At 45.8% G+C, this 13,944-nt stretch overlaps 1 protein-coding gene across 23 annotated transcripts in view, besides 2 other annotated features; it reads right to left on the bottom strand.

Moving 5' to 3' along the window:
* NIPAL3 (NIPA like domain containing 3) overlaps positions 1 to 13,944 on the bottom strand; it is a 59,460-nt gene that overhangs the window by 10,711 nt on the left and 34,805 nt on the right. For 18 of the 23 annotated variants that reach the window (XM_011541808.3, NM_001322854.2, XM_047425988.1 and 15 more), the window contains 5 exons: positions 12,647 to 12,792; positions 8,769 to 8,865; positions 6,000 to 6,135; positions 3,297 to 3,385; positions 1,729 to 1,792 (listed from right to left, as the gene is read on the bottom strand). In XM_011541808.3, coding sequence (XP_011540110.1) covers positions 1,729 to 1,792; positions 3,297 to 3,385; positions 6,000 to 6,135; positions 8,769 to 8,865; positions 12,647 to 12,792 — 532 coding nt within the window. Of the gene's footprint in view, positions 1 to 1,728; positions 1,793 to 3,296; positions 3,386 to 5,999; positions 6,136 to 7,448; positions 8,220 to 8,768; positions 8,866 to 12,646; positions 12,793 to 13,944 lie in introns of those variants that run through there. The other 5 variants (NR_136508.2, NR_136506.2, NM_001322868.2 and 2 more) reach the window with 5 other exon arrangements.
* Positions 4,163 to 4,664: an enhancer, noted in NCBI's record as "H3K27ac hESC enhancer chr1:24784099-24784600 (GRCh37/hg19 assembly coordinates)". NCBI's record gives its function as "activates a minimal SCP1, AML or CMV promoter by ChIP-STARR-seq in primed H9 embryonic stem cells {active_cell/tissue: H9 hESC(primed)}" and the evidence as "EXISTENCE:reporter gene assay evidence [ECO:0000049][PMID:30033119]".
* Positions 5,948 to 6,460: an enhancer, noted in NCBI's record as "H3K27ac-H3K4me1 hESC enhancer chr1:24782303-24782815 (GRCh37/hg19 assembly coordinates)". NCBI's record gives its function as "activates a minimal SCP1, AML or CMV promoter by ChIP-STARR-seq in primed H9 embryonic stem cells {active_cell/tissue: H9 hESC(primed)}" and the evidence as "EXISTENCE:reporter gene assay evidence [ECO:0000049][PMID:30033119]".

The raw sequence follows: 13,944 nt of genomic DNA, 5'->3' as shown, positions 1-13,944 counted from the left end.
TCCCACAATCCCCATGTGTCATGGGAGGGACCTGCTGGGAGGTAACTGAATCATGGGAGCAGTTACCCCCATGCTGTTCTCATGATAGTGAGTGAGTTCTCACGAGATCTGATGGCTTTATAAGGGGCTTTTCCCCCTTTGCTTGGCACTTCTCTCCTTCCTGCTGCCATGTGAAGAAGGACGTGTTTGCTTCCCCTTCTGCAATGACTGTAAGTTTCCTGAGGCCTCCCCAGCCATGCTGAACTGTGAGTCAATTAAATCTCTTTCCTTTATAAATTACCCAGTCTCAGGTATGTCTTTATTAGCAACATGAGAATGGACTAATACAGATGTACTCTTTCTTTTGGGTAAAGAATCTAGAGGTGAAATTGCTGGATTATAGGGTAAGGCCACTTTTTTTTTTTTTTGAGACAGACTTATGCTCTCATTGTCCAGGCATGCAATGGCATGATCTCAGCTCACTGCAACCTCCACCTCCCAGGTTCAAGTGATTCTCCTGCCTCAGCCTCCCGAGTAGCTGGGATTACAGGTGCCTGCCACCATGCCTGGCTAATTTTTTTGTATTTTTAGTACAGACGGGGTTTCAGCACGTTGGCCAGGCTAGACTCAAACTCCTGACCTCAGGTGATCCACCTGCCTCAGCCTCCCAAAGTGCTGGAATTATAGGCACGAGCCACTGCACCCGGCCAAGGCCAAATTTTTAAAAGTTTGTGATTTTTTTTTTTTTTTTGAGACGGAATTTTGCTCTTGTTGCCCAGGCTGGACTGCAATGGCGCAATCTCGGGTCACCACAACCTCCGCCTCCCGGGTTCAAGTGATTCTCCTGCCTCAGCCTCCCGAGTAGCTGGGATTACAGGCATGCACCATCATGCCCAACTAATTTTTGTATTTTTAGTACAGACGGGGTTTCTCCATGTTGGTCAGGCTGGTCTCAAACTCCCGACCTCAGGTAATCCACCTGCCTCGGCCTTCCAAAGTGCTGGGATTACAGGTGTGAGCCACCTCTCCCAGCCTGTGATTTTTTTTGATGAATGTGTTCTAGACATGGATCTGTGTCAGCACCTACAGACTGGCCTCAAGTTTTCAAAATGGCAGCATGGCATGCTATTATCTGGATATGGCATAATTTTTTAACACTTGTATTCTACTGCTGAGCATTTCTATTGTTTTCAATTGTTTGCTTATACAACTAATTTAAAAATTAATAAATAGCCTCATACATGTGTATTTGCATCCCTGTTGAAGCATTTTTCCAAGATAAATGATTAGAATGGAATACTGTATCAAAAAGTATGCTTGTTTGGATTTTTTGTTGCTGTTGTTAAATTTTCCTCCCACATTCAAGTATGCTAACAGTGTGGTAGTAGGCGGGCCTCCTCATCTTCTTGCCAATGTGGAATACTATTAATCCTGTTAGTTTTTGCAAAATGATGGTATCTCATGTAGCTTCAATATGCATTTCTTAGATCCGAGGTGAGGTTGAGAGACTTTTCATGTGTCAAAATGTGATATTTGAGAAATGCCAAAGAGATTAGAGTCCAAAAGAGAAGGGGAAGATAAAGCCCTTAGAGGAATAAAACGCTCACCTCTGGGGACAAAGCTCCAAAACCCCACAGCTCCTCTGACTCTAAAGGATGGGGCGGCTGTAGCAATAAGGGAGAGAGAGGGGCAACCTGCTTGGAATTCTACACACAATGTTTTGGGGCTGGCAAGCAGGACAGAACTCACCCCAGTGCAAACATGCAGATGTGCAGCACGTCCTCCCCGATGAAGTCCAGGTAAAATATTGCACCTGCAGCAGCAAATCATAGAAAATACCGCTGAGCTGTTTTCAAATCACCCATCTGCCAGTCTGTCTAGGATTTGGCTAAGCTCTCTTCCATTTAGGAAACTAAAATGATCAAAACTTATGACTGTGCCTTACAAGAAGAAAGGAATAAAAGCCATTTAGGGGATCAGGTTGTCAACTTTTTTCCACCTTAGACCCCTCTGATCTCCATGTTGTTTTTTAACTTTTATTGGGGGATAATATTAGACTCACAAAAATGGTGTAGAGTTCCCATGCACCCTTCCTCCAGCTTTCCCCAGTCATATCTTCCATAACCACAGTGCATAATCAAAGCAGGAAAACGACAATGAACACTTACTAACCAAACCACAGACCCTATTTACCAGTTTGTGCCTGCAGTCATCTCCCCTCCATCTTTCTTAAGATAGATAAACAAGGCTTTGTGCTTATGCTGTTAGAGCTTTCTAACCTCATGTGGCCAGTAGATCCCAAGTCTGTGGGTCTACTCCTGTGGTATGGGAGTGGGGTGGGCCTACTGCGCCTGCCCTGAGCCAGCCTTTGTCCAGAATCATCTCACCCACACAGGCCTCCAGCTGTATTCCTGAGCTCCTGATTCCCTGCCTTGACTTCTGTTCTCACTCAACCATGGTGTTTGTGATTCCTTTCAACCTTGACTGGACTTCACGCTTCTTGACCAAGCTTCTTGACCCTGACTTAGCTTATGGCTTCTGGCTGCTCTGGGTCAATGCCTCATGGCCCCTGGTGCTGCTCACAGCATGGGCCCTGGAAGCTGTGCGCCTCGTGTGTTCCTCCTGTGTAGACAGGAACTGCGGCACCACTTGTCTTAAGTGTTGGCAGAGCATAGGGCTTTACAGCCAGGCTTTCACCAAAGGAAAGCACTTAGTTCTTATTGGATTTTTTACTCTGAAGATTTTAGTCACCTATTATGCCATTTAAACAAATTAACAAACAGCTTTATATGATTGCAGCCTCTGAGGCCACTACAGAAAGAAAATGCAAAAAAAAATTAGAGGTGAAATAGAGGAAAAGGGGGCTGTAATGCTAATGATCACTTATTGAGCATTGATGATGTTGCAGTGCTATGCATATTCATAATCTCTAAAATTATACAGAAGAGATTTGTGGTCACTTAGCCAGTGGGGGTTGTGGAGCTAGAAGATAGCAAAACTTGTTAAAGTACACACAGTATGGCATAGGGCACATTTGGATCATACCCATTACAATTCTAGGAGCTAAGTGTTATCACTCCCATTTTATGAATGTGGAGCTGAGGCTCAGAGAGGTTAAGTGATGTTTGCAGAGCTGATGTGCGTCTGTGCTGGGATACAAACCCGGGTCTCTCTGTCTGGAAATCCTGCACATTCTCCATGAACCCATAAATCACTCTACGGGGAGAACAAGTCAGCAGAATCAGCCTCCCTCTGCCCTGGGATAATACCCTGCTGCTAAAGTAGAAGACAGAAATCTAGCAATGGGTCACCCTTACCTGCTGTGATAGCAATGGTTGTGGACAGAATGTAGCCCACACTGGCAATCAAAGAGGAGTCGTACATCTGTGAGGCTTGACTCAAAAACCTTCAACACAAAAGCACTCCAGTCAGTGGGCTGTGGAGACGTTGGAAAGGCTAAGAGCTGACAACAGTAGAGTTTGGTTTGAAATATGAAGATGATACATTTAGGAATGTTCCTTGGGTTTCTAAAAATGCCACCCTCATGTTACAGGACATTGTGTATCCCTAGTCTGGGGCCCATACTTGATTCCCACTCTTCCCCTAGACACACAGCTAAGGCCCATCCCCATTTCCCAATTGAACCATGCCATCATGGTCTCACACCTTTGGCTGCACGGCTCCTGTCACCTGAAATGCCCTTCTCCTCACCCCCCGTATCCCCACCCCACTAAAAAGAGCCATTCCTGCATCTCTTATACCCCTGCCCCCAGAAACTCTTACAGCACTAATCACGTTCTGCCTAGTGTCATAATTATTCTTTTAAACAAAATTTCTTTTTAATTTGAAAATAATGTGATCACTGAAATAAATACAGGAAAAAGAGAAAATTAGAGTCCTTCCTAATCACTCCATCTATGATAAACAATACCCTTGTTTTGGAAGATATTCTTTGCCCTTTCTCTGCATAGTTGCTTACACCATGCTCACCACTCAATTGCTTTTATTTTTTTACTTCGCTTTGTGGCCTAGGCTGGAGTGCAGTGGCAAAATGACAGCTCACCACAGCCTCTAACTACGGGGCTCAAATGCTCCTGCCTCAGCCTCCTGAGTAGCTGGGATTACAGGTGTGAGCCACTGCATGCAGCTTGGCTGTACTAGTTTCTTCACTGGCTGTCCCCCAGCCAGGGCCGTGAATGCCTGAGGGCAGTGAGTGACTACCCTCATCATCTCTGTGTGCTGAGCACCCTCAGTGGGCTGCACTGGCTAGGGAATGAGTAGCTCCTTAGGAGGTGGGCGGTGGCATCTGAGCCATGTTTGTGACACCTGGAGTGCTCAGCACAGGGCCTTTGACTGGCAGGGGCTTCCAGGTGATGACTGGAATTGTTGTAGTGGGACCAAAAATAATAACCAAAATAACAATAGCAAGGCCAATAATCATAGAAGCAGCTCATGTTTACCGGGCATTTCCCTAGAGACATTCTCATAAGAGCTTCATGTGATTCTCTTAGGTAGGGACTGTTGTTCTCATTAGCAGGTGAAGAATCTGTCTTGGAGAAGCTGAGTAGGCGACAGAAGAGCAGAGCAGTGAGGGCATGGGCTGGGGAGCCAGACACCTGGGTTCAGATCTCAGCTCCGCCACTTTCTAGCCTCTTACTCTCTCCGCATCAGTTCCTCGTATGCAAAATGGGGATAATATCCTGTACATCAAAGGAGTGTTGTAAGGACCAAATGAGCTGGTTCCATAAAGCACTGAGAAAAGAGCTGGGCTCACACCGGGCCAGCAGCAGCTGCTCCTATGGTGCCTGGAGGCCATGTAGCTGGTGGACCTTCAGTCTGAGCCTGAGCTTCCCAGGTTGAATCAGCCTTGTGCGCTGCTGAGTCCTGTGTACCTACACAGGTTTTGTCACCTACAAGATTCCTAGAGCCTCTCCTCCCAGGCCCTCTGTTGGGCTCCAGGACTCAAACGCAAACAAGACACAGGCCCTGCCCTCAGGCTGCTGCCTTTTATTTAACTTCATGCTTAGAAAGAGGAGGGGGCACTTTGCCTTCCACTCAGGAAGATTTGGAGGTGATATACTGAAGTCAAGAAATGACAACTTTTCTTTCCAACCCAGCAGACAAGCAGGTGCCTCCTAGGGATGGCCATGCTTCCGAGGCCCCTGAGACGATCATCTGCCCCGGAGAAGATGGGAAGTAAGGCTGCCTCCAACCACAAATTTCTCACATTCTGGCCAGGTGTTGTGGCTCATGCCTGTAATCCCAGTACTTTGGAGGCCAAGGTGGGTGGATCACTTGAGGTTAGGAGTTTGAGACCAGCCTGGCCCACAAAGTGAAATCTCGTCTCTACTAAAAATACAAAAATTAGCCGGGTGTGGTGGCATACACCTGTAGTCCCAGCTACTTGGGAGGCTGAGGCAGGAGAATCGCTTGAACCCCAGAGGCAGAGGTTACAGTGAGCCGAGATGGCTCTACTGCACTCCAGCCTAGGCAACAGAGTGAGACTCTATCTCAAAAAACAAACAAACAAGCAAACAAACAAAAATTATCACATTCTGAGGGAGTGGGGAAAAATCCATCCACTGCTGGCTTCGTATTTCTTTCTTTTTTCTTTTTTAATTCTGTGTCTCAGCTTCCTGAGTAGCTGGGACTACAGGCATGTGCCACCATGCCCAGCTAATTTTATTTTATTTTTTTGTATTTTTAGTAAAGACGGGGTTTCACCATGTTGGCCAGGCTAGTCTCAAACCCCTGGCCTCAAGTGACCCACCCACCTCAGCCTCCCAAAGAGCTGGGATTACAGGCGTGGGTCACTGAGCCTGGCCTGGCTTCGTCTTTTGAGTGGCAGGTGTCCCTCCAGGTGACAACTCAGCAAATTAGCAGCTCCTCTCTCCATGCTGGATGCCAGGCCCTGGGGCATGTTCTGGCCTCCTTGTGGCTTCACAGCATACGTCATCAGGCCCCCAAAAGAGAAGCAGCCCGAATGGCAGGGCCCAGCAGGAAAAGGATTTGTAACTCACGCAGCCTGATAGACGGCGGTTGCCACCATGCACACGAACATCACGTAGAAGATGGGGTAGTCAAGCTGCAGGTTCCCTTGAATGGACAAGACAAGCATCCCAGCCACGGCCTTGACTGTCACCACTGTCATGGAGCCTGCAGATGGGAGACAAGGGCGAATGGGGAGCCTCAGGGAAATGCAGAGAGTTAGGTCCGGAAAGCCAGTCTATAACCCCAAAGGACTTGGGGAGACAGAGGGGAGGGAACAGGAACAGAGTCAAGCCGGCAGTTTGCACAGTGACAGACGCCGTTTGCACTGGGTCTCGTGTGCACCTCTCCCATGGACTCCCATGCTCTGTGCTGACTACATCCTAAAGGAGGGAGGAAAGCCAACCCCCTGAAGGTAATCCTAGACATCACTTCTAAACTGCCAAGCATGGGCAGTAAGTTCAGTTCTCTGAGGCCCGGAGTGCCCAGCACTGTGGCCAAAAGGATCCGAGTGGATCAACGAACTTACCAGTCTCATGGCAACCACAGGAAAAACATGTGTTGGGTAAACAGCTTAGGAATTGTTGGGTTTTTTAGTGCTCAGTCACTTGTATTTTTTGTTGTTGTTGTATTTTTTTTTTTCCTTTTTGTGGACAACAGGGTCTCGCTATATTGCCCAGGCAGGTCTTGAATTCTTGGGCTCAAGCTACCCTCCCATCTCTGCCTCCCTAATAGCTGGGATTACAGGCGTGAGCCTCCGCGCCCAGCTGGTCACTTGTATTTTTAAAAACATTTCTCCAGTGTTTTGGAATGCACACCCCTGTGCATATGTGCAAACATTTCCAATATGTGTGTATCTGTTTTCAAATTAAAGTCATGTGACCCTGAACTTAAATGGTAGGCATGTTATAAAATTTGTACAGGAATATAATTTAAAAGGCAGAGAAAAAATGATTGAAGTTCTAATATTCTCTCTGTGTACCCAGCGAAGCATCCTGCTCACCTCCCTGTGGAGACCCTTGCTCCACCCTACTGTTCAGAAATGTCTTCTAACTGCAGACTTTCAGACTGCCCTGCCAAACAGGAGTTAGAGACAGCCCCCAAGCGTGGTCCAGGTGAAGCCCCCGGTCCCTGCTGCTGTGCTTTGCTTTCCTATTCTTCAGCTTTGGTTTATTTCGCTTTCTCCTGCCAACACCCCCAACACGCAGTGTCTCTTGGGCTCCTCACCCATTAGGCTACTGTTTCCAAACGTCAGCAACCACTTAGGCACTTGTCATCAGGTAGTCCTTCTTAGTCAGAAGGGGATTGGCCAATGGCCTCAGAACCTTCTGGCCTTCCTACGTAAGAGGAGAGGATGTTTCAGGGCCGTGATCCTTCCCATCCACTTTGAAAACAAAGTCACCGAGGAATGAAGGACTGATTCATGCTATGATGTGGGTGAACCTCAGAATCATCATGCTCAGTGAAAGAAGCCAGTCATATCAGGCCACAAAGCATACGACTTTATTTATGAAGGTGTTCAAAAAGGCAAATCTACAGGGACAGAAGATAGCTTAGTGGTTGCCTGAGGCTGGGAAAAGGGGAACAGGGAGTGACTGCTAATGGGCACAGGGTTTCTTTTGGGGGTGACAAAATGTTCTAAAATTAGATTAGGATGATGGTTTCACAACTCTATGAAATACTAAAAACCACTGAATTGTATACTTTAAACAGGTGAACTTTATGGTATGTAAATTATATCTCAACAGAGCTGTTAAAAAATTAAGGAAACCCTGTCTTCGGTGACAGGTATCTATTTGGTTGATGGCTTGTGGCGGTGGTAGGGCACACAGTAGGAAGGTTGGAAGAAAAATGCACATATTAGCCACCTGTGCACATCTCATTTAACCCCCACTCCCTTCCGTGACTTGGATGTTCTCATAGGCCCCCCCTTTAGAGAAGTGGACAGCGTGGCTTAAGGAGGGAGGGTCATTAGCCTGAGGCCACTCAAGAGCAGCGCGGTAGCAGGCTTCACCAGCCCTGACACCAGCCTGCTCCTCCGCCTCTGTCTGCTTCTCCTCAGGAAGGATGGATTCCCCACAGCTCTATTTAGCTATAAAATTATATGCAGTTCTAGCCAGGTACAGGGCCTCATGCCTGTAATCCTGGCACTTTGGGAGGCCGAGGCAGGGGGATCACTTGAGGCCAGGAGGTCAAGGCTGCAGAGAGCTAAGATTGTACCACTGCACTCCAGCCTGGGTGACAGAGCAAGACTGTCTCAAAAAAAAAAAAAAAGGAAAAATTAATATGCAGTTCTAGCCTCAAGCTGATTCAGGAGCTATCTCTTCCACAGCACCCATCCCTCTAAAAGGAAAAGAAAAAATAGATGACAAAATCTAGTTTTACCTTTGAATCAGAATGAATCCCTAAGCTCTGATAGGTTTTGCATGGATCTTTTCAGGGCTCAATCGCTGGGGCATGCTCTACTACTACCGTCTCTGAAACAAACTAACTCACCTCATCCTCACTCTACTTTATTCTTCCTCATTGGAATTGTTATTGCCCAAACTTACATGACCTATGAATTTGGCTAGTTGTTTAGTGCTATTTTCTCCCTTTAGATTGGAGGCTCCTGGAGCACAGGAGTTTGCCTCCGGTCAGCAGGGACCCAGCTCCCCAGAGCCACTGATGGAGACAGAACAACCTCAGCCAGTCTCAAGCAACTTCTGTGCCCAGCGGCTACAGCTCTGCAAACAAAACCCACATTTCCATTTGGTGCTTCTTGGTGGTGGCAAAACTCAATCATCCAGATGCCAACTTACCAAGTAACGCCACCAAGAGAAGAATCACGACAATGTTGTTGGCGTTCTTCTCCTTGTAGAAGTAGAGCAGCAAGCAGAACAGAATGATCTCCACCAGCTGTGGAAGGCAGCAAGCAGGGGGGTCAGTGGGGACCACAGAAGTAGGCGAGACCGGGAGACCCTGGTGGGCTGGGCCATCACCAGAGTCACAGGGTTGAAAGGGAATGACTGAGCTATGATTCAGCATTTCCCAAACTACTGTTAGACGTTCAGGGGAAAAGGGAAACACAGAGTGAATCTCTCTAATCCCTGGCTAGTACTGAGAAGGAATTCCCTGTTGTCCTGAGGCTGAAGCTTTGAGGGTGACGTGCTGCTCTCATATCCACTCTTTCTTGGAGGGCCAAGATGCATCAGGCTGAGATGGTTTCTTCCCACTCCACTGCTCCATGGGCATCCCCATTAAAACAATGGGTTGGTCCAAGAGGGAGACACTTGTTCACCAACCTATTTGGTCAAGAATGTGAGGCCAGGCACGGTGGCTCACACCTGTAACCCTAGCACTTTGGGAGGCCAAGGCGGGTGGATCACCTGAAGTCAGGAGTTCGAGACCAGCCTGGCCAACATGGTGAAACCCGGTCTCTACTAAAAATACAAAAAAAAAAAAAAAAAAAATTAGCTGGGCGTGGTGGCATCTGCCTATAATCCCAGCTACTCAGGAGGCTGAGGCAGGAGAATTGCTGAGATCACGCCACTGCACTCCATCCTGGGAGACAGAGCGAGGCTCCATCTCAAAAAAATAAATAAATACATAAATAAAGAATATGAGTATATACTCCCTGTGCTCCCAGCCAAGCTTCCAGTGTGAAGCTTCACAGAGTAGAATGAGGAAGGCCTTTGGAGTCAGGGAGACCTGGGCTGGAACTTAGGTCTGCCTCTAAACTAGTCGTGTGGCCTTGGGTAAGTCACTTAACTTCTCTAAACCTTAGTTAACCCTCTGTGGAGTAGGGTTAAGAATTCTTTTTATGGGCCCATAATCATAGCTTACACTAAATGACGTCTCCTTGTACGCCAGGCAGTGTTCTAAGCATTTTATCTACGTTAAACTCACTAAATCAGCACAATAACTCTACGAAGCAGGTACTACCACGATGGCGTGGCACAGAGGAATTTAAACCTGGACAGTCTGGCTCCCAGGCCCATGCACTTTCCTGCTAGGCCACACTGTCTGGTGCTCTATCAGTAGAAACTTACCACTAGACGATGGCAAGTCCGAGTTTGAGAAGCTCCCCCTCCTTGCATCAACAACTGTTCCTTTCTACCCCTTAAAAGCCCAGATATTTGCTAACACTTTCCCAAGAAGTTAAGCCAGCCCTAGCGCCCAGTGCAACTAAAGCAGAAAACTTTGACAACAGCTTAGTCTCATTTGCCTATCCCAAACCCCTTATCAAAGCTGATTTAGTATAAAAAAAACCCAGAAACATTAATGGGCATTTTGAAACATTTAAAACATTCCTTCTAATTAGAGACCATAAAACACAGCTGCTTTCATTTCCCCGTTTCTTCTTTGTCTTTGTTCCAGTGAATCCATATTTTAACGAGTTGTCATTATAGTCAATGCACGATTTTGTACTGGGCTGTTTTTAGTTACCATAAACAATCTTCATGTTTTGTGAAGTTGTCATAATTATCTTTAATTGCTGCAGAATACTTCATCAAGTGGATGTGCTGTCAATCATCAACATTCCCAACCACTGTGCCTGCATTTGAGGGGTCCCAATTCTTCAGCCATTCTCCATGATTTTTTTTTTCTTTTTCTTTTTTTGAGACAGGGTCTCACTGTGTCACTCAGGCTGGAGTGCAGTACTGTGATCATGGCTTACTGCAGCTTTGACCTCCAGGGCTCAAAGCTATCCTCCCACCTTAGCCTCCTTAGTAGCTGGTAATACAGGCATGCATCACCACACCTGGCTAATTTTTACTTTTTTTTTTCCAAATAGAGACGGGGTTTTGCCACATTGCCCACACTGGTCTCAAGTTCCTGGGCTCAAGCAATCCTCCTACCTCGGCCTCCCAAAGTGCTGAGATTATAGGTGTGAGCCACCACATGTGGCCCGTTCTCCATGATTCTAAAATGAACACTGGAATAGCACTGGACATTATATCATGAGATGGCTGTGCATATGTGGTGCCTCCCAACAGTCCGTGAGTACTGTGGGCATGTCTCATTTATTTTTTATAACCATAGTGTCTAGCACACAGCAGACGCTCAATAAATATTGACTGAATTTGGTTTGGCCAAATCTCTCCAGCTGGCAGCACTGCCTCCCAGTCATGATGAAGTAAGACAACAGAATCATTCACTGAGCATCTACCACCTTCTGGGTGACTTAAATGCTACTTCCTGGATCTCCCAATAGCAATTTTAAGTCCAGAGATTCTTGCCACTTTACAGAGAGGGAAACAGAGAAGGAAAGCGACTTGGCTAAGGCCACACAGCACTTAGGAAGTCTTGGGCTTCAATCCTCTGAGTGAAAGGCCTGTTCTGGGGTAACGCTTTGCCCAAGGAGGCGGTCTTTTGCTCTGTCACCAACTACATGCTGGGGCTGGCTGCCTGTTGGGAAATGACACAGCCCCCATTTCAGGGGAAGTGATCCTCTGCCTTGTGGATAATCTGAGGAAAAAGGATGTTCCAGGGCCTCTAGACTCAATCAGAGACCAGGCTGTTTATGTCAGAGGAAAACAGTGAACACCTTTGTCGGCAGGCCACGGGGAAGGAAGATGGCACCTGAGGCCAGGTGGGCCCGGCCTTCAAATCCAACCCTGCTTTTATGAACTCTGAGCAGGTCAGCTAACCTCTCAGAGCCCTGGTTTTCTCACCCATAAAATGGGAAGAACATTTACTTTACAGGGTTAAGAGAATCTGAGATGATACATAAAAATGTGTTTAGCACAGCGCAGGGCATGGAACAAGAACGTACCAGTAGCTTTATCACATACTTTAGATGTTTTCCTTAATCAGTTGATTTATAGACTTAAAATGGGATAGAACTGGGGCAGAGGACTGAGCTCTGGCGGAGGGGTTAGGAGACAAAATTTCCCGTGTCTCCTGGGCTTCTATCAGCAGTGTGATACTGGGAAAAAAAATAAAATAACATTCTTAAATGGTTTACAGTTTTAACTTTTTCTTCCCCTTACCATAAAAGTTTGAAATGGTTACTGTAGAAATTTTGGACAATTCATAAAGATGAAGAGGAAATAAGAACTGAGTCATAACACTATCTCCCAGAGCCAACTACTGATGGAATTTGCTTTCCCATCCAGGCCTTCCTAGGTATATTACATGACCACATACCTATACACACCTCTAAAAAATAAAACTGACATCATAATGGTTTTGATATTACTGTGTGGGGCACAGTGGCAGTTCATTCGTTCTCATTGTGTACAGTGATCCACTGTGTGAATACAACACAATTTATCCATTCTACTGCTGGGGGGCACTTGAGGAGTCTCCAGCCTGGAGTTATAAAAAATAATGTTGCTGTGAACATTCTCATACATGTCATTTGAGAAACACATGTATGCATTTCTGTTGAGTATAAAATGAGGGGTGGAATTCCTCCATAGGATATGTGGATATTCAATTTGGTAATTAGTGTCAAATGTTTTTCCCAAGTGGCTGTACCAATTTACACTCCCACCAGTAGAGTTTTGATATTACATAAATGAAACAAGCATTTCGCCATGAGCTGTGTACTCTCCAGAAGCACGGTCTTTCATGCTGGTAAAATGTGCCGCAACTCACGGAATCCCCTATTGCTGGGTATTCACGTTTCTGGTTTCTAGGACTTGATCTCCCTCCTGCCATCTCAGGGGGAACGACTGGAGGCTTCTCTTACCATGTACAAAAGGAAAGGCCAGCTCACGAGGTGCCTGGTGACATTCTCGCCTGTCATCTTCTCGTGACTGTTGGGTGCGAATGTCACCAGCAGGTAGGTACCCACGACAGCCAAACCGCAGCCAACAAAGGACAAGACGTAGCGCCCTGCGGGGAAGAGAGGCTGTCACGGACTCATTGCAACAACAGGCCCAAGATACAGTACACGTTCTCAGCCATGAAAAAACAGGCTTCTCCTGCAACATACCATGACCTGGTATTGTTTGTATTTTTGGTTTTTCTTTACTTTAAAAAATAAATGATTTTCCTTAATTTTGTTAAAAAAACAATTAATGTAAAAAAATAAAAAACTTTAATGAAGTATAACATGCATACAAAAAGTGCTTGAGGAATTCTCCCAAAGTGAACACACTCATGAAACCAGCTCCCAGATGGAGAAAGAGAACATTAGCCAGATACTGAAATTTCTCATTTGTGAAATTGATTACTAGACCCCACCCTCAGGGTTACACTATCTTGACCTGTAACAGCACTGATGGCTTTGCCTAGCTTTGTGCTTTATACAAATGGACCCATACGGTGTGATCTCTTTTGACTCAGCATGATGTTTCTGAGATTCGTCTGCGTTGTGGGGCACAGTGGCAGTTCATTCGTTCTCACTGTGTACAGTGGTCCACTGTGTGAATACAACACAATTTATCCATTCTACTGCTGGGGGGCTTTTGAGGAGTCTCCAGCCTGGAGTTATAAAAAATAATGTTGCTGTGAACATTCTCGTACATGTCATTTGAGAAACACATGTATGCATTTCTGTTGAGTATAAAATGAGAGGTGGAATTCCTCCATAGGATATGTGGATGTTCAGTTTGGTAGTTAGTGTCAAATGTTTTTCCCCAGTGGCTGTACCAATTTACACTCCCACCAGTAGAGTAAGACAGTTCTAGTTACATTCTTGTCAACACTTACATTTTGTCTTTTTCATTTTAGCCATGATGGTATTGCACTGTGATTTTAATGTGCATTTTACAGGTAACATTTTAAAGCTAAAATCACTTTATGGGCAAACTAAAAAAACAAATAAAATAAAACATAAAGGCAAACCTTCAGAGCTCAACACGTACCTTTTAAAAATTACCTCATCCTTTCTCAACTGGCTATTTAACCTAACGCCAAGGGAACTATATAATAACTATATAATTACTATCAATATTCTACGCCACAGACCTGTCAGAGAACTGTTAGTGGTCCAGGTGGCATGGCTCTTATCTCTCCCCTGGAGTCTTGTCACACTCCTATTGA

Source organism: Homo sapiens, chromosome 1 (genome assembly GCF_000001405.40).
Source record: "Homo sapiens chromosome 1, GRCh38.p14 Primary Assembly".
NCBI classification, from domain to species: Eukaryota; Metazoa; Chordata; class Mammalia; order Primates; family Hominidae; genus Homo; species Homo sapiens.
The sequence above is the reverse complement of the archived record's forward strand: the minus strand, read 5'-3'. Positions and strand labels throughout refer to the sequence as shown.